The 27,745-nt window shown below is 34.3% G+C and overlaps 1 protein-coding gene across 7 annotated transcripts in view, besides 1 other annotated feature; it reads right to left on the bottom strand.

The window, feature by feature from the left end:
- Positions 1 to 27,745, bottom strand: part of MUSK (muscle associated receptor tyrosine kinase) — a 137,768-nt gene that overhangs the window by 98,562 nt on the left and 11,461 nt on the right. For all 7 annotated transcript variants that reach the window (XM_005251994.4, XM_005251995.4, XM_017014734.2 and 4 more), the window contains exons 2-5: positions 25,197 to 25,323; positions 20,729 to 20,880; positions 12,467 to 12,594; positions 10,531 to 10,672 (exon numbers count right to left, since the gene is read on the bottom strand). In XM_005251994.4, coding sequence (XP_005252051.1) covers positions 10,531 to 10,672; positions 12,467 to 12,594; positions 20,729 to 20,880; positions 25,197 to 25,323 — 549 coding nt within the window. The remainder of the gene's footprint in view (positions 1 to 10,530; positions 10,673 to 12,466; positions 12,595 to 20,728; positions 20,881 to 25,196; positions 25,324 to 27,745) is intronic.
- Positions 14,266 to 14,767: an enhancer, noted in NCBI's record as "NANOG hESC enhancer chr9:113455510-113456011 (GRCh37/hg19 assembly coordinates)". NCBI's record gives its function as "activates a minimal SCP1, AML or CMV promoter by ChIP-STARR-seq in primed H9 embryonic stem cells {active_cell/tissue: H9 hESC(primed)}" and the evidence as "EXISTENCE:reporter gene assay evidence [ECO:0000049][PMID:30033119]".

Raw genomic sequence — 27,745 nt, 5'->3', positions numbered from 1 at the left:
GTTGGCCTTAAGGGTAGATAGTGCAGCCTTTCAGATTGCAAAGAAACTGGGCTGGCAGCACGCAGGTGTCCTGACAAGTGATGGAGACTCATGCACTGAAGCCACTTAAATTCTCCATATGACTTGCCTTCCCTTGCTACTCCCCAAAATGCCTCTCCACGTTTTGACAAGAGGCTGCTTTTCAAAGCCCTGAGGAAATAAGGAGTTGTTTAAACATGAAGGAGCCCTACAATAACCCTGTACCCAGAAGGACTCTCTTCTTTTTGTTCTGCTTCTAGACCCTCCCTGGCTCTTATTTGCAGTTTTGTATTGGTGCCAAGACACCTCTTCCCACCAGCAATTGCTGACTGACAGCCCTCTCTTGATTCCAGCTTCTGCCCAATATTTTCCTTAATGGCTTAAAGCTTCAAGGGTAAACAAGATAATAATAGAAAATGCAATTAACAAGAGCTTGATACACTCCAGCATCCATCTATTTTAATTTGGGTCTCAAGTACACTACATTCAGCCAGTTTCTATATACAAAGCAGTATTCATCTGAATGTGATATTCACAGAATGTAGTAAGAGCCACATTCAGCCTCAAATAAATAAGTGCATTTTAAAAAATCTTAGTTAAGGCAGAGAATGTGAGGGGAAAAAAGAAAATTAGATATTTATAAATTTTAAATGAGTCTTTTGCAATGTTTAAAAAATCTTATAACAAAGACACCCCCCAGCTATAAAAAACAGTAATTATGTTATCACCTTAAAAGATTTGATTTGTATGGTCTGGTATTTTATTTTTATTTTACTTTATTTTACTTCAGTGTAGAGATGAGGTTTTTGCCATGTCACCCAGGCTTGTCTCGAACTCCTGGATTCAAGAGGTTCACCTACCTTGGCCTTCCAATGTATTGGGATTACAGGCATGAGCCCCTGCACTGGTCAGAGGAGTTAATTCTCTCTCTCTCTCTCTCTTTATTTGTTTCTCTCTCTCTCTCTCTATTTTTTTGAGACAGGGTCTCAATCTGTTGCCCAGGCTGGAGTTCAGTGGCTCCATCTCAGCTCACTGCAACCTCCACCTCCCAGGCTCAAGCAGTTCTCCTGCCTCAGCCTCCTGAGTAGCTGGGATTACAGGTGTGCACCACCATGCCCGGCTAATTTTTGTATTTTTAGTAGAGACGTGGCTTCACCATGTTGCCCAGGCTGGTCTCTAACTCCTGACCTCAAGTGATCCGCCTGCCTCGACCTCCCAAAGTGCCGAGATGACAGGTGTGAGCCACTATGGTTGGCCCTCTGGTCTAGCGTTTTAAAGGGGGCATATGCCACTGGTCAAAACAGGGAAATAAAATCAGAATTTCAAAAGTTGTCCCAAGCAATCATGATAGCAAACCCTCACTGAAAATTCCAGCCCTGCCATTCAAATCAGCATGTTCCACTGCCATATCCCTCTGCCCCTGAGTATCTGTCTTCCTGTCCTTTAGAGGTACTCAGGAGAAAATGGTTTCAGATATATAAGAAAAACAACATAGATCACTCTTTGGCTACACACCATACCTAAAGTAGAATGTGAAGTGGATTAGAGAAGCAGACAAAATTGTCTCTTAAAAGATAATTTCCTCTATATGGCCCTGAAAAGCCACTTAGTCTCTATTTCAACCTAATAAAATGAATAGGCAGCAAATAAAAGGTTTTGAGGGAAAAAGGCTAGGTGGCATCATCTCACTGAAAATAATGCTTTCATTTCTGTGAGGAACAAATGAAATGATCTCAAGCAGAAGGAAAATTTCTAGTTAAAAATAAAGAAAGCTTTATGAGCCAATATGGTTGATTTATTTTTGTTTTATCATTGTATATTCATTCTCATATTTGGGGACAGCTAAGGAACGATCTTAGCTGGAGGGCAGAAGCCACAAACTGGGTGTGAATGCCTTTAGCACCTGTAAGAAAAATCTCAATTTCAGAGATATTAAAATGTGCAACAAAGAAACTAAAATTTATTCAATTGTGATTGTAAGGGATTAATGATGAGATGTAACCCAGATATGCCAAAATATGAAATAATGAGCATCTTAGAATGTATGAAATATGATATGTAGATTTCTCTGGTGACATCAGACAATAAGATGTTCCCTGGTCACATCCTGCCGTGAATCCTCTCCTAGAGCCCTTTGGCACATGGGGGCCTGAGACAGGGCTTAACCTTTCCAGAAGAGCCTCCACAGTTGTGAGACTGAAAACTTTCTTCTGCCTCCCAGATGACTGAGGCTTCCCTGTCAATGTCAAATCAGTATACCTAAATAGTTCTTACCTAGCGGTGCTTCCCTTTCCTATAGGAACTTCCCTTTGTTTTACTTTTCCCTTTATGCTGTAAGTCAGTAACACCCAACAAAGTGTGGAAAATGTTCACTGAGAAATCAGAACCCTAACAAAACTTTTGTGCTGGATCCTGCAAACTATTCCAGACTATAAAATCATAAATTTCAGATTTCCATCTATACATAGAAAAGAAGAGTCAGATGAGTGGAGACTTCAGCAGCAGCTGCTGTTCTCTGACCCCCTTCACTTCCTCCATCTAGGTGACTCTGCCAGCTTCCTCTTGTAGGTCTCAAGCTTAGCAGCTTTATGGATTGATTCCTTCCCTAAAGAAATGGCATGTTCTATGTCCTGTTCATCAGAACCTCCACCTTCAAAATTCTTCAGCCAATATCCAAGAGTTGTGAAAACCTAAGCAACATAGGAATCAATTACCTTTGACAAAACTTTTCCCATCCCTGAGTTTGTCTTGGAGATCAATGGAGCAACAGAACTGCAAAAATATCAAACTAATGAACAGAAAGATTCATGTTACTTTATCAAAAATAGTATAATATTTGGAAGAAGTGTTTTTTTTCCAAAGCATAAATACATGTATTAATTCTTCCTAATTATAAAGTTCTCTTTATAAAGATGCAAAAAGTATAGGCCTACATAAAGTATAAAATAGAAGTTACCCCCCATATAATTTTCTTTCTTTCTTTTTTTTTTTTTTGAGATGGAATCTTGCACTGTTGCCTGGGCTGGAGTGCAGTGGCACAATCTCTGCTCACTGCAACCTCTGCCTCCTGGGTTCAAGTGATTTTCCTGCCTCAGCCTCCTGAGTAGCTAGAATTTCAGGTGCCTGCCACCATGCCCAGATAATTTTTTGTATTTTTAGTAGAGATGGGGTTTCACCATGTTGGCCAGGCTGGTCTCAAACTCCTAACCTCGTGATTCGCCCACCTCGGCCTCCCAAAGTGCTGGGATTATAGGCGTGAGCCATCGTGCCGGGACCCCCCATATAATTCTCTATGCAGAGATGATGACTTAAGAGTTCGATATACATGTACTCTAATATATAATAATAAGATATACTGTTCTTTACTTACTTTTTCACTTATGAACATATTATATTGATAATGAATTAATATTCTAAAGCACTTAGAACAGTACCTTGCACATGGTAAGCACTATACAAGTACTTATTAAATACATGAAATAAATAATAAAACAGCAAATAATTATATAGTACACACTATGTGTCTATAATAACTAATAATCAAGCATCCTAAGAGGTAGGTTCTGCTTTTATCTCTATTTTAGAGAAGAGGAAGCTGAGGCTCAGAGATGGAAAGCAGACCCAAGTCACATATACGGTAGATAATTTTAGAAGTTAATGTATATAAATCCATCTCATTCTTTTTAATGGCTGCATGGAATTACATCACATATTTAGATGGTGTCCTATTGAAGCAAATTTAAGTTCTTTACAACTTTTTACTAAGTAACTTTGTAACAAATAATCTTGAACATACACTTGTGCAAATATTCTTTTAGATAAATTGTCAGAAGTTAAATTGCTGAGACAAATCTATATACATTTTAAAGTTTGATTTTTATTTTTCATAAACCTTCATGCGGCTATACCAAATTGTAAGGATAGATGAAAGTGATAGTTTCCCCACACTCTATTGTTATCCTAATTGTTGTCCCTTATAAATAATCTGTCTTCAATATTTTAAGATAATCTCTTTGTCTTTGATGTTTCCTTATGATTTGACTGGGTGTGAAATGCTTATTTCTCTGCTCTTCATTTTTACCGATTGGGACTTGGTATGCTTCACGTACTTGAAGATTTAAGTCTTTCATCAATGCTGGAAAGTTCTTAGTCATCATGTTTTTGAGTATTGCCTCTCATATTTTCTGTATTTTCTCTTTCTGTAATGTATCTTTTATCATTTCTTAAATTCAATTTCATCTTTTCTATGCTTTCAAAATCTTTCTGCACTGAATTCTAAATTCTGAAGAGCTGATTTCTAATGGCTGAATTATCTCTTTATCTCTAATATACTATTACTCATCCATTGAATTTTAATTTTAATTATATTTTTATGTGTTAAAATTGTGTTTAATTATTTATCAAAACCGCCTGTCTTCCTAATTTATTTATTTATTTAATTTTTTTTTTTAGACAAAGTCTCACTCTGTTGCCCAGGCTGGAGTGTAGTGGTGCAATCTTGGCTCACTGCAACCTCTGCCTCCTGGGTTTAAGAGATCCTTTTGTCTCAGCCTTCTGAGTAGCTGGAACTACAGGCGTGCACCACCACGCCCGGCTAATTTTTGTATAGAGACAGGGTTTCACAATGTTGGCCAGGCTGGTCTTGAACTCCTGACCTCAAGTAATCTGCCTGCCTTGGCCTCCCAAAGTTCTGGGATTACAGGCGTGAGTCACTGTGCCTGGCCCTAATGTATTTTTGTTTTCCTTATTCCTCCTTTTGCATTTTTAATTACTTTAAGCATACTTATTTTATAATTTCTATGATGTTATGTGGTTAACTGAATTTTCTTTGTATATTATGTTGGACAACACTCACTCAAGGTAGGTTGTTTTCTGTAGGTGTGACAATTTTGCATTGTGAACTCATCCTCAGTGTAGGTATATCCATGAAAAGCCTATGTAACTTGGGTAAAGTGCTTCTTCTTTTAGCTTTTTTTTCTTGTTAAATTTTTGGCCTGGAACCAATGTTTTGTGTGTGTGTGGGTTTTTTGGCCTGGAACCAATGTTTTATGTGTATGTAGGTTTTTTATTATTATTTTTTTATTTTGAGACAGGGTCTCACTCTGTTGCCCAGGCTGAAGTGCAGTGGCACAATCTTGGCTTACTGCAGCCTCCACCTCCCAGGTTCAAGCCATCCTCCCACTTCAGGCTCCCAAATAGTTGAGACTAGAGGCATGTACCACCACACCTGGCTAATTTTTATATTTTTTGTAGAGATGGAGTTTTGCCATGTCGCCCAGGTTGGTCTCCAGTGCTCAAGCCATCAGCCTCCCAATGTGCTGGGATTACAGGGGTGAGCCACTGTGCCCAGCCTGAAACCAGTTTGTATGTTCATTTTTCCAGCTGAGAATTCCCAGACTGTGCTGATGGTATTAAGTCAATATCAAGCCTATGGAAGCTATAGTCCTGAGTGTTGAATATTCACTCCTAAGATGACCTGGTTTTTTCTCCCTCACGACTAAAGACAGACAAGCCATTGTGTTGTGTTTTTGTGCCTGAAGATGGAATTTCTGGCCCATCTTTCTACTTTTGTGGTTCTCAGCTTTATACAAGGTTTTGAATGCTAACCTCCATTTCACATGGGCCAAGACCCTGTCTCCTGCCCCTTTAAGGGTCTTAAAACCAATCTCCTAGGTTATGGAGATGAGCACCTGTCCCATTACCTTTAGAACAATAAGAAACCAGCTCATTGAGCTTATGGTTTTTGCAGTTCCTGTCCATTTTGAGCTTCCAGAGATTTATATTTTATTCTTATCAGTTATACAACTAGCCCAGCATTTCCGGGCTAGTTGGAAGATTTTCATATTATCTTGTCTGTTATATTGCTGGAGCTATAGTGTTTAATCCTAGGCTCATATCCGAGGATATTTCATATTTGGATATTAAATCATAGGTATGGCTGGGCATGGTAGCTCATGCCTATAATCCCAACATTTTGGGAGGTCAAGGCTGGAGGATTGCTTGAGGAGTTTGAGACCAGCCTGGGCAACATAGCAAGACCCTGTCTCTATGAAATAAAATAAAATAAAATAAAATAAAATAAAATAAAATAAAATAAAATAAAATAAAATAAAATAAAATAAAATAAAATAAAATAAAATAAAATAAAATAAAATAAAATAAAATAAAATAAAATAAAATAAAATAAAATAAAATAAAATAAAATAAAATAAAATAAAATAAAATAAAATAAAATAAAATAAAATAAAATAAAATAAAATAAAATAAAATAAAATAAAATAAAATAAAGTAAAGTAAAAAAAATAAAATAAAATAAATAAAATAAATAGCTGAGCACAGTAGTGCACACCTGTAGCCCCAGCTAATCAAGAAGCTGAGGTGGGAGAATCACTTAAGCCTAGGAGTTTGAGGCTATAGTAAGCTATGATTGTGCCATTGCACTCCAGCCTGAGCAACAGAGTGAGACTTTGTCACAAAACAAAACAAACAAACAAGAAAGACGGAAAGAAAGAAAAGAAAAGAAAGAGAAATTATAGGTGTATTTGGTACCTAAAGATTCCATGATTCATGCTTCAATCTCTCTTTTGCAATAGTCTCAAATCCTTTGCCCTATTTTCCTTCCTGACAAAACTCCAACATTTATGTCTTGCCTTTGAATTTAGCTTTCTGCTATTTTCTGAACTTACACCTGTACAGCAGAGCAACACTGGAGGGAAAAACCCTGCAACCATGTGGATTGATGCTACTCCATATTCACGGTCCTGCTCTCTACTAAAACTTTAATGCTGCCCTACAATCCTGGTTTACTTTGTGAGTCATCTCTCCCATTCCACAGCTATTTTAGAACTCACTTCATCCTCACCCCCTTCCCTGACCCTTTAACAAAAGTGTTTTCAAAAGATAACCCTAATTTCTCCTTCCTAGAGGAAATAGAGACCATAAGAACAGAATTTTCTCAAATTCCATCCATCATACTTATGAACTGATTTATACTGAAAACTTCCCTCTTCTCTTTTCTTCCTATTACAAGGACATTCTGTCTTCCTGTCTAAGGAGAGTAACCATATAATTTATCGTGGAAGCTTGGATACTTCTGAAAGTAAAAGAGAGACTCTATTAATAATGATTCCAGGACAACAGGTGTAAACCAGAACTGTCCTGGGAAAACCAGAACATGTGGTCACCCTCTGTATACAGTTTATCATTCTACTTGGCCCCCAAATACAACCCTTGTGCATTATCCAGCACCACATTTCATTGAGTATTTTGTTCTCTTATGTATGTTCAAATTTTTCTTCTCTCTGAGCTCAGTGTCATTAATATTTTAACATTTAAATTTTTTTACATTTCAATATTTTTCGAAGAGAAATCTTGCAATGCAACGTGATCTACACACCAAACATAGCTCCAGCTACTGCTTCCTTTTTTGACTCCTCCCTTTTCTCTGAAAAATTTATCAAAAAATTTGTCAATACCTCCTGTCTATTTTTTTTCAGCTCCCATCCTCTCCTTCATTTGCAGAATTCTGGTTTTCCCCTCATTTTCATCTAGATACTTCTCTTGACAATGTCACACAGGACTATCTCATTCTTTAATAGAACAGACAGTATTCAGCCTGACTCAAATTCTTAGACACAGCTATCTGTGCAGCCTTGTGTAAGTTAGCTATCCTCTCTATTCCTCTGTTTCCTAAAATGGCAGAATATAGGGCCCTTGTTACAGACTTTTAGTGAGAATTAAACAAGATAATCCACATAAAACATTTAGCCTCAATGGAACTTTTTAAAATGTTAGCCTTCCCATTGGACATCCTTTCAGAAAGACATCCATGCTGCACCACGCTTGAGTTAGATGGTTCCATCAATAATTATGTATGTCACCGTTTGAACATTTTAAGGCAAGACCAAAGTATAGGATACCTTTACATTTCCATTGCAGAGGTCCAGCAGTCTGAGAATGGCAATCTGGAAAGGGAGCTTTACTTCTGTGTGGTAGGGTGTTTCTTTCACAGTTGTAACAACAAAGATTTAGTTAACACATGGTACCCAATCCATGGCCTGGCATGTTTATCTTTATTAGAGGCTATCAATGACAAAACTCTATCTTTTCCTGTATGCCCATCTGTGTTACATGTAGCCCAGCATCAAATGGCACCATAGAGTTCTGATTCGATATAGTCACTGCATAACTAATTTGCAGAGTTACGACTTGATACATACATATGCTCGTCTGCCCCAACTGACGATGGCCCTGCCTCATCATCTTCAGTCCTCATCATTGCCAAACTAGCAGGCATCTGCATGTACTTTTGAGGTTTTTCCAGTCATTTCTCAGTTGCTTTTTTTTAAAAAAAAACTTGTTCTGAGTTGTAGGTTGAGTTAGCCTTACCTCTAAATAGGTCACGTCTACATTATATCTTATGAAAATACCTCAACTATTTATTCAAGTGGAAGTCAACCTTTCAGAGCTTCCAGAGCCAAAGCAAATTTGTTACAATTTTATGTTTTAATCATAATAAGTATAGTAGATTCCATTTATTAAATGCTTATTATGTACCAGCAATTGTGCTAAGCATGTCACATATTTTGGCTATTTTAATAGGGACTAAGATGAGGGTAGAAATAGGCATGTGTGCTAAATGTGTGCGAAAATCATCTTACCTACAGTTAGAATAACTTTAAATGATATTATGAGCTCTCAGTTCTAGCAAATTTAATACTATCTCTAGCATATATTAACTTTTAAAGCACTAAGCATGACCATTTAAAGGTTACGAGAAAAGAGGCAGTATTCAATGTTACTGACAGGCATGATACAAAATTAAATGGTAACACAAAACCAAACTGTATAATAACTCCAACTAATGGAGTTCGGTGATAATTTTCTCTAGGTCAAAGGTAAAGCAAGTTGTTTTAATATCTATGAAGCTAGTGACCTAAATGATCAGTATTAAATATTATAATACAGAAAGCTTATTTTTAATATCTTAAAGAGAAAAACTCTTTGTGATATTTTATACAAATGGATAGCATTAATTCTGCATCATTCCTTAGACAGAACAAGAAAACACTGGATCTAGGCAGACAGATATTCAGTGAGTCTGAATGTGTGTCTGGGTGGGTTTGTAGGTTTATTTAGTTTTTACTGAATAAATCATATCAACTGGTTGTTGAATACGGAGCTTCAAATAGCACTGATTATTTAGAAGATATTAAATTACAGCAACTTGATGAAAATGTATTTTTATATTCTGACAGCCACTATTCCCACCAACCTCATTATTTTCCATGAGGAATTAATGAAAATTTTATGAGCAATTGGTACAATGACATAATAAAGATGTTACCTCAATTGGAGGCAAACGTGGGAAACGAGATCATTAAAGCTGTGACAGGAATGTCCATCAAGGAAATAAAAATAATCTTAAAGGAGTTAATAGAAAACTATATGAATGAGAAGGAAATATGCAGAAAAAGATAGATTTTGGCCTAAGGAAAGTAGGACAGAATCAAAGTAAAATATGGAGAACTCTTCAAGTCTTTTCCTGATTGAACTGTAATTTGTGCCAGTATGTGATACTCTAACACTTATCAATCAGATAAGAGAAAAGCAGAAAAATAGATGATAATTCTTATAGCCAACATTTATTGAGGGTGCACAAAGGACCAGATGCTCTGCTAAACACTATCAACACCTAACTTCATTAAATAGAGCAAACCCCACTTAACAGGTGAGAAAGCTAGGAGCCAAAAATGTTAATTCTCTGGCATACAACAGGAAGAGCTAGGAAGGGTTTGTACTCAGTTTATTCGCCTAATAGAGGTGTGCTGATAGTTCTTTTTAAGCAAAATGTGGTGCAATTTTAGGTCAAGAAGGACCCGACTAACAAGCAAATAGAACACCTAGACCTATTTGGATTCTGATTTCTCAGTGAAGACCTTTCACACCAAGTTATTGAATTAGCTGATTAAAAAATATTTTCAGAAAGAAAAGAAAAACGATTTTGATAACATAACTCACAGAACTGGGATTATTTTTGGCTTTACGATTTGAGTTAATGTTTTTTTTTTCAAGCTTTGTGATAGAACACTATCTGAAAATAGCTACTTTTTCCTCCTTATCACATCTTTTTAAAGTTGTTCTGTATGATTAAAAAGATTAAAATTATTATGCCCAAGTCTTTAAATGAGGGAAGAATTGTCCAAACCAGGAAGGCATTCTAAAATGGGTTTCTATTATTTTACTGTTACAGTAAATTTAGTCTGTTTTGGTAAAAATTACCAGTGATTGTGAGTAATCAATGGAATATGACCTTTTATACTAGTGAAAATTTCTTTCTTTTTTCAGTTTTCCTTTTCTGTTATCATACGCTTGAACTTATGGCCTAATATCTGGAACAACTGAGGGAAGTGGGCTGCCCACATCTCTTCTCTCCCAAGCCCAGGTGCAGCCTTCACAGTAGACAGTGAGGCCCCTGGTCACACAGTCAGGGGAAGAAATGCAGCTCCTTACCCTCAACTTCCAGCTTCACCACTTTGGAATATGCTGTCCCGAGGCTGTTTTTTGCCACACATCGATACTGTCCTGCATCTTCCTTTTGTACGTTATGAATCCTCAAGCTCCCAGATTCAAGAACTGCAATTCGGGAATTTTCCTGCCAGAGATAGGGACGTGAATTCAAAAATGTTTATGGGTCTATCAAGGATACATTTGCCAAATATCATCAACTTATTGTCATCACTATTATCATCATCAAAGATATCGCTTTGACCTTTATTGGCCACTTATTATGTAAAACATACAATATTAAATGAAATAGTGCAAGAGTACCTAAATTAATCTTCACCAGGGTCCTATGAGGTATAGTTTATTTTTATTTTCTTTCATCCCATGAGTGTGTGTATATATATATTATATATATAATATGTATATGTATAATATATATATGTATATGGGCTTATTTTGCTTCCCCAAAGTCACAGCTAAATCTGATTAAAAGCATTGCTTTTAGAAGGGGGAAATGTTGCAGAGTGGGGTGGTGAGACATACAAAACTATATACTGGGTATAATGTACAGCACTCAGGTAATAGGCACGCTAAAATCTCAGACTTGGCCACTATACAGTTCATCCTTGCAACCAAAAACCACTAGTACCCCAAAAGCTATTGAAATATGAATAAATAAACACATTGCTTTTAACTATCAGGTTTACCTTGCACCCTAGATGGTATCTTTAGAAGAGTACATGTCCTTTGAAATACTAGAAAATTTCACACATAATATTAAAATTACTCTTTGGAGTTTAAATATTACATCTGTCTTTTCTGTTTTGAACCCTAAATTCAGTAACATAAGTACAACCACCCTTGTTTGTCATTGTAGGAAATGCACCAAGATTTATAACAAGAGGAAAGCCAGATAATTAATCATTAAAAATTAGCAATATTTATTTTATTTTAAATAAAGCAAAGCTGAGCAATTTTATACCTTAGTTCAGTTAATTGACATAAAGTGACACCTTTGTATTCCTCTTAAAATATACTATGCATTGTTAAATGAAAAACATAGTCTGTAATCTTTTAGGTGATATAAAGATGGAAAGACAATAATGATGCCTCATAATAATTTATCAATAAATGTGGGGATAAGATACAGAGGCAGTACAAAATAAGCATATGGATAATAACTTTTTTTTTTTTTGAGATGGAGTCTCATTCTGTTGCCCAGGCTGGAGTGCAGTGGTGAGATCTTGGCTCACTTGCAACCTCTGCCTCTCGGGTTCAAGTTATTCTCCTGCCTCAGCCTCCTGAGTAGCTGGGATTATAGGCACACACCACCACACCCAGCTAATTTTTGTATTTTTAGTAGAGACAGGATTTCGCCATGTTGGCCAGGCTGGTCTTGAACTTCTGACCTCAGGCCTTGGCATCCTGAAGTGCTGGAATTACAGGCGTGACTACTCTTCATGACTCAGGAGGGATTTGCCAAGGTATTTGTGTATGAGTCTTGAGTCTTTTCGCCTAACTTCTCTCCAGAGATCTCATTTCTTTTCTTCCGAACCTTGTCTCCCTCCCTCCTTCCAGAAACTGTCAGTTCTAAAGCCTGGGTTTTAGTTTTTCTTTTTCATCCCCTAAGTCTCAGATTCAACATTAAAAAAAAATAAATGATTTAGCCAGCCAACAAATACAAAGGATTCCAGGTTTGCTTTTTCATTGCCTCCTTTTCTATCTTTAACATTATTGGTTCCCATCTCTTTTTTCCCTAGCCAGACCCAAATGAAATGCCATGCAGTTTGCATATATGCAAACAGAAATATTTACATTTGGTTAAAATGTACATGGAAACTACTTTATACTAGAAGTTTGTAAGTGTGTAACTGAGTGTGTAAAGAAATGTTATATTTTAAAATACATTTTATATATGTGTTTTAACATCATAACCACTTACCCTGAGAGGGCTGTCTCCCTTTATCCAAGACACTGATGGTTTGGGATTACCCATTGTAGTACATGGTAGGACTGCTTTTAATCCCTCTATTATTTTCACATTTATGGGAGGACGAGTTATTTTAGGTTCTAAAAAGAAATGAAAATTCAAAATAAATAAGGCAATATGGCTTTATTAAACCTAGAGTTTCTAACTTTCAATTTAATTCTAAACATCTGTTTTGAGAATCATTTGAGGCATGTTACATTACAAAATTCACCAAATGCAAAGACAGTTTTCCTCAGTAGATCTCAAACAGAAATCAGTTTAGAAACACTTGGTTGTCTCTGCTTTATTAGAATCTTACTAGCAAAACACAAATTTATGAAAAATATTAACAGTGTGAAGTTACCATAGCATTCTTCATTTTAAAAGATAGTTAATAAAAGCTGATTAACATAGACTGTCACCATAGCAATTCAACATTATTTAATTCATACTGATAGACATAAAACATTTGAAAAGAAAATTTTGATATAACTATATTCTTACCTAGTTAGAAATTATGACCTATTTTCCCTTTAGCTTCCATCTTAATTTGACTATTAAATTTTATGATTATTAATTAAATACATTCATTCTCTAGAAAGTAAACCAGATATTATTATATTAACAATCAGAAGAAATTCTGTCATACAATTTGGGGGGACTCAAACATGTAATTTACTGTTCAAACACTTTTAATCTTTCAGAAGAAATAGTTTATGCCAGTTAATTTTTATTCTCAAATATGAAACTTTCAAAGAAAGTTATTAAATCTAATATACAAAAGAATTGATAAGTTCAGGATGCCAGTTATTTTAGTACTATTCGTAAAATAGTTAAAACTACATTTATGTCCTTAGGAATTTTACGTTACAGATACAGAGGGGGACTTCGCAAGAGAGACTACTGAGCAATGGACACATTTTATTTCTTGCAGGACATGTGCCGTAACCAATTTGTTATTTTGACAAAGGAACGCATGAAATATGGACTTTGTTTTCTTCTACTTCAATGTGAGGGAGAGGAATGGGGGCTTTGGTGTTGTTGGTGGTAAGAGATACTTGCAAAGCCTTCATGACCTGTTGGGTTTTGTTTTTTTGTTTTTTTTTTTTTTTTTTTTTGAGACGGAGTCTCGCTCTGTCGCCCAGGCTGGAGTGCAGTGGCGCGATCTCGGCCCACTGCAAGTTCCGCCTCCCGGGTTCATGCCATTGTCCTGCCTCAGCTTCCCGAGTAGCTGGGACTACAGGCGCCCACCACCACACCCGGCTAATTTTTTTTTTTTTTTTTTTTTGTATTTTTAGTGGAGACGGGGTTTCACCCTGTTGTCAGGATGATCTTGATCTCCTGACCTCGTGTTCTGCCCGCCTCGGCCTCCCAAAGTGCCGGGATTACAGGCGTGAGACCTGTTGGTTTTTAATCTAAGCATTCACTGTCATTTAGAGTTCCTGCGGCCCTGTGTTATAGCAAAAATACAAGAAAGGCTTTAAAATATAGGAAAATAACAACTTTATTACTTTGCCTGCTATCTATAGCATACAACTCTCCTTCTAATAAACTGTAAATACCTACATGTAAATACAGTACTGGCCAGGTTCCTCAATTGTGAGTTGTATTGTCATACAGTTGCTGGGAAAAACTTAGCTGAGCACTTGATATTCCTATGACAGTCAAATAAAGTGTTATCTATGCCTTCCATAGGTTCCCTGAACAAGATCTCTATGGTAAAGCTGAGGCACAGATAATGTCTTAGGTAAAGACCTTTGCTTAAAGCAAAAATCTCCTATCTTCTCAGTGACTTGATGTCTTGGTCATCTGTTAGGTGAGGGGTGAGGAATTCCCTTTTGGGAAATTGAATGTAAAGTCAACTAGGAATGACTAGGGTATTGACGCATAGCCATGGATCCCCACTGTAAGGGAACATGATTCAGGGTGGAGTCATAAGTACTGACCAATCAGAACTGGTCACCTTAAAGCAGGATGCTGGAAGTATCCCGCTGTGCCAGCATTGAGACTTTAGCTGATGGACCATTAGGAATTTAGGGGAGGGAGCTCTTGGGGGAGGGCTTAAGAGAGCTGGAGTAGTGATAGGGGTTGGGGGATCTCGGGAGCCTTATAAAACGGATCTTTCCAAGAAGTATGGAAGCATTCCAAAATTTTAGCAATTGGAATGGCCACACCGGTGTATATCCACATGAATGGATGAGATCTCCAAAGGAGAGGTTGGAAAAAAGAAGGCAAGAAAAGAAAAGGGGATTTAGTATAGAACCCAAATCAAGAACAATTGGGCCAGAGAGAATATGCAAAAATATTCAAAAGAAAGGTAGTGTCACAAAGTAAGGAAATACTTGAATGTGTTTCATCCTCAGAATGAAGTCTTCATTATTTAGCAAATGAGAGCATTCCAACTTCCTTATTTGATTTCTTACTTCTCTGCATACTGAAGGGAAGCCTGCATATAGGCAGATCCCCACCTACTTACTCACAGTAAGTACCAAATCAGTATTCCATAAAGTCATGCTATTCCCACCAGCTTTTTATCCTAATTAACTGAACACTCCATGTATATTTATTATGATCAAAAAATAAAAGATCAATTTGAGAAAAATTGTAAACATAAAAGGATGGAACCCAAACAAAATCAATTTTTTTTTTTCTGAAGGAAATAAAAGTAATGCAGGGGAAAAAAGAAAATGTCTTTTTAAAAGATGCACTAGTGATATCCTTAGAAGCTTAAGTGAATATTGTATCATACAAGTGAGTTTGTTATGACAACAGAGACATCAAGGAAATTCTTAGAAATTAAAAATATAGTTTTTAAGACCAAAACACTCAGAATGACAGAATAGTCATACTGGAGACCACATTCATAATATGAAGAAAAAGTAAAAGGAATCTTCAAGAGAGTAGAATATTAAGACATGCAGAAAATATGAGAAGAAAAATTTGAAGTCATAGAGAAAGAAAAAAGAAAAAAAATAGAGAAAATGTACCTTTCTAAAAAGCTTTGGTCTTTAGATCAAAAAGGCCCACCTAGGCTGGGTGCAGTGGCTCACTCCTATAATCTCGATACTTTGGAAGGCCAAGGTGGGAGGATCACTTGAGCACAGGACTTCAAGACTCAGTATGTGCAACACACTGAGAACTTATCTCTACCAAAAAAAAGTAAATAAATAAATAAAAGTAGCCTGGTATGGTGGCTCATGCCTGTAGTCCTAGCTACTTGGGAGGCTGAAGCAGGAGGATTGCTTTAGCCCAAGCAGTCAAGGCTGCAGTGAGCCATGGTCACACAACTGCACTACAGCCTGAGTTACAGAGTGAGATCTTGTCTCAAAAAAACCAAAACAAAACAAAAACCAACCAACCAAACAAACAAAAAAACAAGGCCCACCTAAAACTGAGTAGCAATAATTCTTAAAAATACACCTAATATATTCTTGTCAATTTGTGAAATTTATGAACTCTAGAAAAAAAAGAAAAATCCTAAACTTTTTAAGAGAGACATCAGATTTACTTGTAAAGAAATAAGAAAAAGACTTCTCATCTGCAACAGAGGATATCTACTAAAACTAAAGAAAAGGGATTTTAAAACTCTCATTCTGCATGCAGCAAAATTATTATCCAACAATGCGAGCAAAATGAAGACTTCCAATCGTGCACAAATTCAGGAAATATTTTACATCTTCACACTCTGAAAAAAGTACCTAATGATTTCCTCCAGCAAAATAACAAAAGATAAGAAATAATGAGGAAAGACAACAACACAAAAACTAAAAATAAATGTCCCAAGTAGACCTAAATTCCTCTAATTTGTGTGGTGCCCGTATGTATGGTTATAAGCATGTCAGAGAAGAGAAGATGAAGGTTACATCATTGTAAGATTGACAGTTTGCAAGTAGCAGATGCTTACAGGACAGGAGGCCATGAGATTTAAAGATGCTGGTAAGGCAGTGTTTGATGATACATCACCAGGTAGAAGAAAGAACTAAGTATGGAAGGAAATAAAAGCCCCATTGGGGAATCAATGGAAAGGAGAACAGAGACGAATCAAGGTAAGAGAACATGATGATGCTGGTGATGTTGAGGTTGTATAGCAAGAGTAGGAGAATGAGAGAGACTGAGACACTGTTGTTAGCTGAGAAGGAGACAATGGAAGTTTGTGCCCACAAACTCTACTTGGAGGCAAATCATGAGTATGGGAAACTGTTTTGCTCATCTGACAAGGCTGTACCAAAAAATGTCCATGATGAGAGTGACATACTGAAGCTGAAGATTTTAAATGCAGACTACTTCCAGTGGGTGACAAGGCCAAGAGTGAGTCATCGATTGGCTACGCTGATAAAGAGTTAACACAAACAGGCTCATGCCTGTAATCCCAGAACTTTGGGAGGCCAAAGTGGGCAGATTACTCAAGGTTAGGAGTTTGAGACTGGCCTGGCCAACTTGGCGAAACTCTGACTCTACCAAAAATACAAAAATTAGCAGGGTCCGGTGGCACATGCCTGTAATCTCAGCTACTTGGGAGGCTGAGGCAGGAGAATTGCTTGAACTCAGGAGGCAGAGGTTGCAGTGAGCCATGATCATGCCACTGCACTCCAGCCTGAGCGAGACTCCGTCTCAAAAAATATATATATATTTATTTAAATATATATATTTATATATATACTTATATTTATATATATTTATATATATACTTATATTTAAATATATATATTTATATATATACTTATATTTAAATATATATATTTATATATATACTTATATTTAAATATATATATTTATATATATACTTATATTTAAATATATATATTTATATATATACTTATATTTAAATATATATATTTATATATATACTTATATTTAAATATATATATTTATATATATACTTATATTTAAATATATATATTTATATATATACTTATATTTAAATATATATATTTATATATATACTTATATTTAAATATATATTTATATATATACTTATATTTAAATATATATTTATATATATACTTATATTTAAATATATATTTATATATATACTTATATTTAAATATATATTTATATATACTTATATTGAAATATATATTTATATTTAAATATATATATTTATGTATATACTTATATTTAAATATATATATTTATGTATATACTTATATTTAAATATATATATACTTATATTTAAATATATATTTCTATATTTATACTTAAATATATATTTATATATATTTATATATTTGTACTTAAATATATATTTATATATATTTATATATACTTAAATATATATTTATACTTAAATATATATTTATATATATTTATATATACTTAAATATATATTTATATATTTATATATTTATACTTAAATATATATTTCTATATTTATACTTATATAATATATATTTCTATATTTATACTTATATAATATATATTTATATATTTATACTTACATAATATATATTTATATATTTATACTTATATTAATATATAATATATATTATATATTTATAATATATAATATATAATTATAATATTTATAATATAATATATAAATATATATTTATATTTAAATATATATTTATATATTATATTTAAATATGTATTTTTATGTATATTTATATAATTTATATTTAAATATATATTTATATTTAAATATATAGTTATATATAAATATATAGTTACATATTTATATATTTAAATATATAGTTATATATTATATATTAAAAAATATATAAACTATATGTGATATATATAGTTTATATATAATATATAATATTATATATAAACTATATATAACATATATAGTTATATATTTATATATAACTATATATAGTTATATATAATATACTATGTATATTATATGGTATATTACTAATATATACTAATATATAATATATATACTAAAATATATAATATGTTATATATTATGTAGTAAAAAATATATAAATATATATAATATATAAATATATATAACTATATATTTATATATAGTTGTATATATTTATATATAAATATGTATTTTTTACATATTTTTATATTTTTTACATATATATAAATATGTATTTTTTACATATTTTAATATTTTTTACATATATTATATATAAATATGTATTTTTCACATATTTTTATATTTTTTACATATATATAAATATGTATTTATATATATTTATATATTTATATTTAAATATATATTTAATATATATTTAAATATAAATATATAGCTATATATTTATATATAAATATAACTATACAATATATAAATATATAGTTTATATATTTATATATTTATATATTATATATTATATAAAATATGAATATATATATGATATATTTATATAAATATATAGTTTATTTATATTTTATATAAATATATAGTTTATTTATGTAGTTTATATAAATAAATTATAAAACTATATATTTAAATGTAAATATATAACTATATATAACTATAGCTATATATTTATATATTTAAATATATAGTTATACGTATTTATATTTAAATATGTTTTTATATATTTAAGTATATATTTGTATATATTTAAATATATGTATGTATTTATATTTAAATATATGTTTACATATATTTATATATAAATATATATAACAAAAAAACAATAAAACAGTTAACACAAACAACCTAAATGCCCATTAATGATGGACTGGATAAAGAAAATGTGGTACCTAAACACCATGGAATACTACAGAGCCATAAAATGGAATGAAATCATGTCCTTTGCAGGGACATGGATGGAGTTGGAAGCCATTATCCTCAGTAAACTAATGCAGGAACAGATAACCAAACACTGCATGTTCTCACTTAGAAGTGGGAGCTAACGATGGGAACACATGAACACATGGGGGGAAACAGCACACACGGGGCCTGTCGGGGGTGTTGGTGTGGGGAGGGAGAACATCAAGAAGAATAGAATGGATGCTAGGCTTAATACCTAGGTGATGGGATGATCTGTGCAGTATACCACCATGGCACATGTTTACCTATGTAAAACAACTGCACATTCTGCAGATGTACCCCTGAACTCAAAATGAAAGTTAAAAAAATAAAATGAAACTACCTTTCCTCACAGTGGCAGACTTACCTTAACGACTACATACGTGTGTACATAGAGATTAAAAGTATGAGCCTTAAAATTGAAAAAAAAAGACAAACATCACTGGATTTCTGCAGGTCAAGGAATTATGAGAATTAAGTGGCTAGTGGTTCTATTTCATGGCTGTTAAAATTTCTTAGGGTAATTGCAGGAGTAGAGATGGATAGAAAGATAGTAAGCCTGGAATCAAAGTTTTTAATAAATATGGGGAAGTGCCTAGAAGAGCAGATGACATGATGAATACAGTTAGAGAAAAGATAGGTCAGAATGGCATAAGCCCTCATCAGAGGAAAGATTTTGTATAGGAATACAAAATAGAATGGTTTAAAAGCAACACTGAGGGCTGGGAGATTACCTACTAGTGTTTGGCAGTCTTGTAGACATGAAGTGGAGAAAATAGAACAGCTTCCACTGAAGCAGAAAATCACTCAGAAGAATATCAAATTTGAAATAAGGCAAAAGTGTCTGCAAAGAGGTTAGAAATAAAAAGTGTGTTTGGTTGTGTTTCACAGGTGTAGGGTAAATGTTTCAGAGGAAGTTTTCCTGGTGAAAGAATTCAGGGTGGAAGAAGTCAGGAGATGAGTGAAGGTAAGAAAATGGGAGAGGATAGAGAATTGAGAGGCTTGCCTTAGGGTAGTGGTTGATAGCAGGCATAAGAGGTGTGGGATTAATTGGCCTCAGGGTTGTGCTTGAACTTGAACTTGTCTCAGTGCTGAATCACCAGGCCTGAGAAAATCTCTATTTACTGACTGTTTTAAAGTGTACCAAGTCAGCGGGGGCACAGTGGCTCACGCCTGTAATTCCAGCACTTCAGGATGCCAAGGTGGGCGGATCACCAGAGGTCAGGAGTTCGAGACCAGCCTGTCCAACATAGTGAAACCCTGTATATTCTGAAAATAGAAAAATTAGCTGAGCTTGGTGGCACGCACCTGTAGTCCCAGCTACTCAGGAGCCTGAGGCAGGAGAATCACTTGAACCCAGGAGGTGGAGGTTGCAGTGAACCGAGATCATGCCACTGCACTCCAGCCTGAGCAACAGAGTGAGACTCTGTCTCAAAAAAAAAATGTAAAAAATAAATACAAAACTAAGTGTACCAAGTCAACTTTCAAATCAATAGACGAATCTGTTTCCCACTCACTCATCTTCACTTGCAGGGCTCCACAACTCTCCACAGCTCCTCCCACACCATTGTTGGCCGTGCAGCAGTAAATGCCATCATCACTGTCTTCCACACTCAGGATGGTGAGGAGCTGCCCATTCTCCCGGATGCTGTACCGGGTGTCAAAGAGTCTGCAGGTCACAGAAAAAAATGACAGATTAGTGCTTCCTCTGTGATTTTTTTGCCATGATTAATGTATCAAACCGATGACTTGTTAATGAGGAAGTAGAATAAAGGTGAGAGGAAACTTGAGTGACTTCTGAATAATAGAATAACCTTACTTGATAATATAAAGCTAACATTATATTCTCATCTTTCTTAGGCTCCAATAGTCAAAGTACCATAGTCCTTCAAAAATGCTTTCAAAGGGTGATGCCCACTGATAAGACAAAATGTAAAGTTTACTTTATTCAGAAAAGCATATAAAACCAAGACATAGGTGTCTTCTCCCAATAAGTTCTGGGAAGTAGCAGCTATTAATAGATAAAGAACATGCATATGTATAAATACGATGAACAGAAAGGGTTAATTACTTATAGAAGTAACTAATGATTAGTTGAATATTTATTCTTTCATTAAACAATTACTTACTGATTGCTAACAAGTGCCAGGCACACTTCTAGTTACTTGGGATACATAAGGGAGGAAAACAATTTCCAACTATAAAAATATATGCTTTACATATATTACCTATTTAATTATATGCAAACCATTTGTTGAGAAGGGAATTAGGGCAGTAGAAAGAAATAGGAAGAGAAGCAGCAATATAAAAGAGAGTTTCTTTTAACCAAATAAGAGTTTTTTTATGCCAAATGCGTGTGGTAAGCAGAATAACACTCCCACAGAGGTTCTTGTTTTAATCACCAAAATCTGTCAATATGTTACCTTATTTTGCAGATGTTAAGAATCTTAAAATGGAGTGTTCTGGACTATTCGAATGGTCCCTGTGTGATAATAAGTATCCTTAAAAGATGGAAGAGAGAGGCAGATTGATAAAGGGAGGTATGACAATGGAGGCAGAGGTCAGAGTAGTGCCATTGCTAGACTTATAAGTGGAGTAGGGGGCCAAGGAACGCAGGTGGCCTCTAGAAGCTAGGAAAGGCAAGAAATCAGATTCTTCCCTAGAGCCTCCAGAAGGAACTCAGCCCTGCCAACACTTTGATTTTAGCCCAGAGAGATTTATTTCATACGTGTGAACTCCAGAACTGTAACATAGTACGTTTATGTTGTTTTAGGCCACTAAGTTTGTGGTAATTTGTTACAGCAAGGATAATAAATAAATACAGGTTTTGGTACCTGGAAGTGTGGTGCTGCTGCAACAAATACCTAAACATGTGGATGTGGCTTTGCAATTGATGAATAGTTAGAACCGAAAAAAATTTGAAAAGCATGCTAGAAAAAGCCTGTATTTCCTCAAAGAGACTGTTAATAGAAATACGTGTGTTAATGATTCTGCTCCTGAGGAATTGGAAGGAAGAGAGTTCCATGGTAGAGAAAATCTACATCATCTTAAAGAATACCTAAATTATCATGAACAGACTATTCGTAGAAATATGTATGTTCAAAGCACTACTGGTGAGGACTTGAGTGGAAATGAGGAGCATGCTACTGGGAAAAGAAGAAAGGGGGATCCTTGTTATGCAGGACAGAGAACTTAGCTGAATGGTGTCCTGCAGTTATGTGGAAAACAAAGCTTGTGAATGATGAACTCAGATATTTAGCTGAGGAAATTTCTAAGAAATGTGTCGAAGCTGCGGCCTCATTTCTTTTTTCTGGTTATAGTAAAATTCAAGAGGAAAAGATAAGTGGGAAAAACTGCTAAGCAAAAAAGGAACCAGGACTTGATGATTTGGGATTATTGGCCTATCCAGACTGCACAAAATACTAGCAAACCAAATTCAACAATACATTAGAAAGATCATATATCATCACCAAGTGAAACTTATCCCTGGGATACAAGGATAGTTCAACATATGCAAATCAATCAATGTGATACATCATATCAACAGATGAAGGGTAAGAAACATACGATTATTTCAATATATGCTGAAAAAGCATTTGATAAAAATTCAGCATCCCTTTGTGATAAAAACCCTCAAAAAATAGATGGAAAATGCCTCAAAATAATAAAAGCCATATATGACAGACCCACAGCTAGTAGTATCATACTGAATGGGGAAAAACTGAAAGCCTTTCCTCTAGTCTGGAATGCAACAAGGATGCTCACTGTCACCACTGTTAATTCAACACAGTCCTGGAAGTCCTACCTAGAGCAATCAGACAAGAGAAAGATATTAAGGGCCATCCAAATTGGAAGGGAAGAATTATCTTTGTTTACAAATGATATGCTCTTATATTTGGAAAAACTTAAATACTCCACAGAAAACTATTAGAACTGATAAATTCAATGAAGTTGCAGGATACAAAATCAATGTACAAAAATCAGTAACATTTGTATATACCAACAATGAACAATATGAAAAATAAATTTAAAAATAATCCTATTTACAATAGCCACACATAAAATTAAATAGCTAGGAATTAATCAAAGAAGTGAAAGATCTCTATAATGAAAACTGTAAGACATCAATGAAAGAAATTCATGAGGACACCAAAAAAATGGAAAAATATTCCATATTAATGGATTGGAAGAATCAATATTATTAAAATGTTCATACTACCAAAAGCAGTCTATAGATTCCATGCAATTCCTATCAAAATACCGATGACATTCTTCACAGAAATAGAAAAAAAAAATCCTAAAATTTATGTGAAACCACGAAAGGCCCAGAATAGCCAAAAGAAAAAAGAAAAAAACTGGAGGAATCACATTGCCTTACTTCAAATCATACTACAGAGCTAGAGTAACCAAAACAGCACAGTACTTTCATCAAAAGAGACACATAGACCAATGGGAAAAAACAGAGAACCCAGAAATAAATTCATGCACCTGCAGTGAACTCATTTCATTTTTGACAGAGGTACCAAGAACATACACTGGGAAAAAGACAGTCTCTTCAGTAAATGATGTGTGGAAAACTGGATATCCATGTACAGAAGAATAAAACTAGACCCCTATCTCTCTCCATATACAAAAATCAAATCAAAATGGATTAAAGATTTAAATCTAAGACTTCAATCTATGAAACTACTCCAAGAAAACATTGGGGAAACTCTCCAGGACATTGGTCTGGGGAAAAATTTCTTGAGAGATACCCACAGGCATAGGCAACCAAAACAAAAATGGACAAATGGGATCACATCAAGTTAAAAGGCCTTCTGCACAGCAAAGGATACAATAAACAAAGTGAAGAGACAACAAATAGAATGGGAGGAAATATTTGCAAACTACCCATCTGACAAAGGATTAATAACCAGAATATATATGGAGCTCAAACAACTCTATAGTAAAAAATATATTAATCCAATCAAAAATAGGCAAAAAAGTTTGAACAATTTCTCGAAAGAAGACATGCAGATGGCAAACAGGCATATGAAAAAGTGCTCAACATCACTGATCATCAGAGAAATGCAAATAAAAACTACAATAAGATATCATCTCACCTCAGTGAAAATGGCTTAGAGCCAAAAGACAGGCAATAACAAATGCTCGCAAGGATGTGTAGATAAGGGAATCCTTGTACACTGTTGATGTGGGAATGTAAATTGGTACAACCACTATGGAGAATAGTTTGAAGTTTCCTCAAAAAACTAAAAATTGAGCTACCATATGATCCAGCAACCCCACTGCTGCATATATAAGCAAATGAAAGGAAATCAGTATATCAAAGAGATATCTATACTCCTATGTTTGTTGCAGCACTGTTTTCAGTAACTAAGATTTGAAAGCAACCTATGTGTTCATTAACAGATGAATGGATAAAGAAAATGTGGTACATATACACAATGGAGTACTATTCAGCCATAAAAAGAATGAGATCCAGTCATTTGCAAAGACATGGATGGAACTGGAGATCATTATGTTAAATGAAATTAGCCAGGCACAGAAAGACAAACATTGCATGTTCTCACTTATTTGTGGGATCTAAACATCAAAACAATTGAACTCATGGACATGGAGCGTAAAAGGATGGTTACCAGAGGCTGGAAAGGGTAGTACAGGGATCGGGGGGAGTAGGGGATGTTTAGTGGGTGCAAAAAAAATAGAAAGAATGAAAAAGTCCTACTATTTGATAAGACAACAGAGTGACTATAGTCAACAATAACTTAGTTGTACATTTTAAAATAACTTAAAGTGTGTAATTGGATTGTTTGTAATTCAAATGATTAATGCTTGAGGGGATGGATACCCCATTCTCCATGAGGTACTTATTTTACATTGCATGCCTGTATCAAAACATCTCATCTACTTCATAAATATATACATATATATACACCTACTATATACCCACAAAAATTTAAAAAAATTAAAATGTGGAATACTTACTTAATGAGAATTTTATTTCTAGTCCAGGAAATCTCAGGCTGGGGGTAGGATTCCACTGCACACATGAAAGTAGCCACTTCTTCAACTAAGGCATCCACTGTTTCAAGAGGAGTGGTGATGACAGGAGCTGAAAGGAAAGGAGAAATCAAAAGAGAACATTCTAGAATTTTGTTTACTAACCCTTCCTTAAGCAGTCAGAAGCCATTACATACCTGAATGAGAATTCTGTTTCCCCAGAGTAGAAATTTGCCAAAAGAAAGGAAGAGCTTATGTAAAGAATGTTGTTTCTACTTCCAAACTAGGCATTTGAAAATCAAAAGAGAAGTCTCTCAGGAGAGCAGGGCTTAGAGTTTATGATATACGAGGAGAGGCAGATCCAAGTTTTATGGGGCCCAAGTTTGTGCAATTTGTACTTTTTAAAGAAAAAATATAAAATTATGAATACAAAATTTCTGTGTCCACCCCAATATCATCAGCATAAAGGGAAGTGAGTCTGAAGGGAAGTCAGGGTGGAAAAGGATAATAATTTAAAAAATTGTTTTTTAAGAACAATTTTCCCCTAATTTTATAAAAATAGACACTCATAAAAGCACATTGCTAAAGCCCACTGAGGGTCTTAGAAAGGGCTCCTGCAAATGAGAGAATCTGAAGCTTAAGCTTCATCAGATTCATAGAGAATTCACTTGGGCATACAACTAGAAAATGAAGAGACACCACTTTGTGAATTGTACACTTTAATGGGTAAAGCGCACGGTATGTGAATTAGATCTCAAAGCTGTTTTGTTCTATTTTATTTTTTTTAAGACAACAGGAGGAAAGGCTATAGACATCGTCCTTTCTTTTTTCTCACTCCTCTGTGAAATGAGGGCTACCTGCATTTATACAGTAAATTATATGGTCCCTTCAGTTAAAGGGCAAGGTATACATCAAAGCCAAATAAGTAGTATGATTGACATTTAGAAGTGAAATAGTCAGTGACAGACTTATAGAGCATCTAGAACAGACTGGCACGTTGTTTGGCCATAAAAGATACATCCACTTTCTGAATAAACCTTATTATTATTATTATTTTTTGGTAAAGTCAAAGGCAAGCTCATCTGCTGAGAGTGAAAAAAAATGGTGAGTGGGAGCGTTTTACTTGCCCCATATCTCCCTTGCTAATGTTATTTTGTCTTTTACGATTCAGTTTAAGCATCCATCTCCTTCCACTTCCCCTGACATGCTAGGCAGACCCAAATGCCTCTTTCCTTAACCTTATGTTATCCTGAAATGTCATTCTTATAATGCCACTTGTCACACAGATACTATTAAAATGATCTGTTTACGTCTTTGACCCACACTCAATTATTAAAACCTTGAGCTTTAGGTCAGGGATCATGTTTTAGACATCATTTAATTCCCAGGGTGAGCACAGTGACTGATGTACTGTTTAAATGAACAAAACTGTATTTATAAGGCCTTCACAAAAGGAGTAAATAAAAAAGTTGAAACATAGTAGTTGAAATAAGAAAGCAGAATTTTTATGTAAAATGACATCTTATACACAGTCATCAGGGCCACTTTCTTCCCAGCTTTTCAACAGAATAATCATTATAATATATATTATAAGGATTGTTATAATATATATTATAATAATTTTTATAATATATATTATAACGATCCTTATAATATATATAATATATATTATATATAATATATATTATATAATATATATTATATAATATATATAATATTATATATATAATATATAATATATATTATATAATATATAATATATAATATATATTATATATAATATAATATATTATAAGGATCATTATATATATCATATATATGATATATATATCATAAGGATCATTATAATATACAGAACATAATACAAAGAAATACAGACATGGACACTATTAAAGAATAGTTAGGAGATATAAAGTATACAGTGACAGGCACTAATACACCTCTGATAGGAGTTTGAGAAAAATAAAAGAGGGGAGCAGCCTAGAAGCAATATATAAAGAGATAAATGGCTGATAATTTTTCAAAACTGAAAAACAAACCCTGGAATATTAAGGTCGAAAGTACCCACCAAATGACAAGACAGATTTAAAAAAGAAATACAGCTGGGCATGGTGGCTCACACCTGTCATCCCAGCACTTTGGGAGGCCGAGGAGGGCAGATCACTTGAGCTCAGGAGTTCAAGACCAGCCTGGCTAACATGGTGAAACCCTGTCTCTACTAAAAATACAAAAAATTTAGCTGGACATGGTGGTGCACACCTGTAGTCCCAGCTATGTGGGAGGCTGAAGTACTATAATCGCTTGAACCCAGGAGGTGGAGGCTGCAGTGAGCTGAGATCGCACCACTGCACTCCAGCCTGAGTGATAGAGGGAGACTCTGTCTCAGAAGAAAAAAAAAAAAAGAAAAAAAGAAAGAAATTCATACTTGGACACATTGAATTAAAACTGTAAAAATTAAAGATAAATAAAATCTTAAACTCTACCAGAAAGAAAAAGTTTAATTCCTTAATAGGAATGCCAATTTTGGGTAACCT

Source organism: Homo sapiens, chromosome 9, assembly GCF_000001405.40.
Source record: "Homo sapiens chromosome 9, GRCh38.p14 Primary Assembly".
In the NCBI taxonomy this organism is placed as follows: domain Eukaryota; kingdom Metazoa; phylum Chordata; class Mammalia; order Primates; family Hominidae; genus Homo; species Homo sapiens.
Note: the sequence above shows the minus strand (reverse complement) of the source record. Positions and strands in the feature narration are given on the sequence as shown.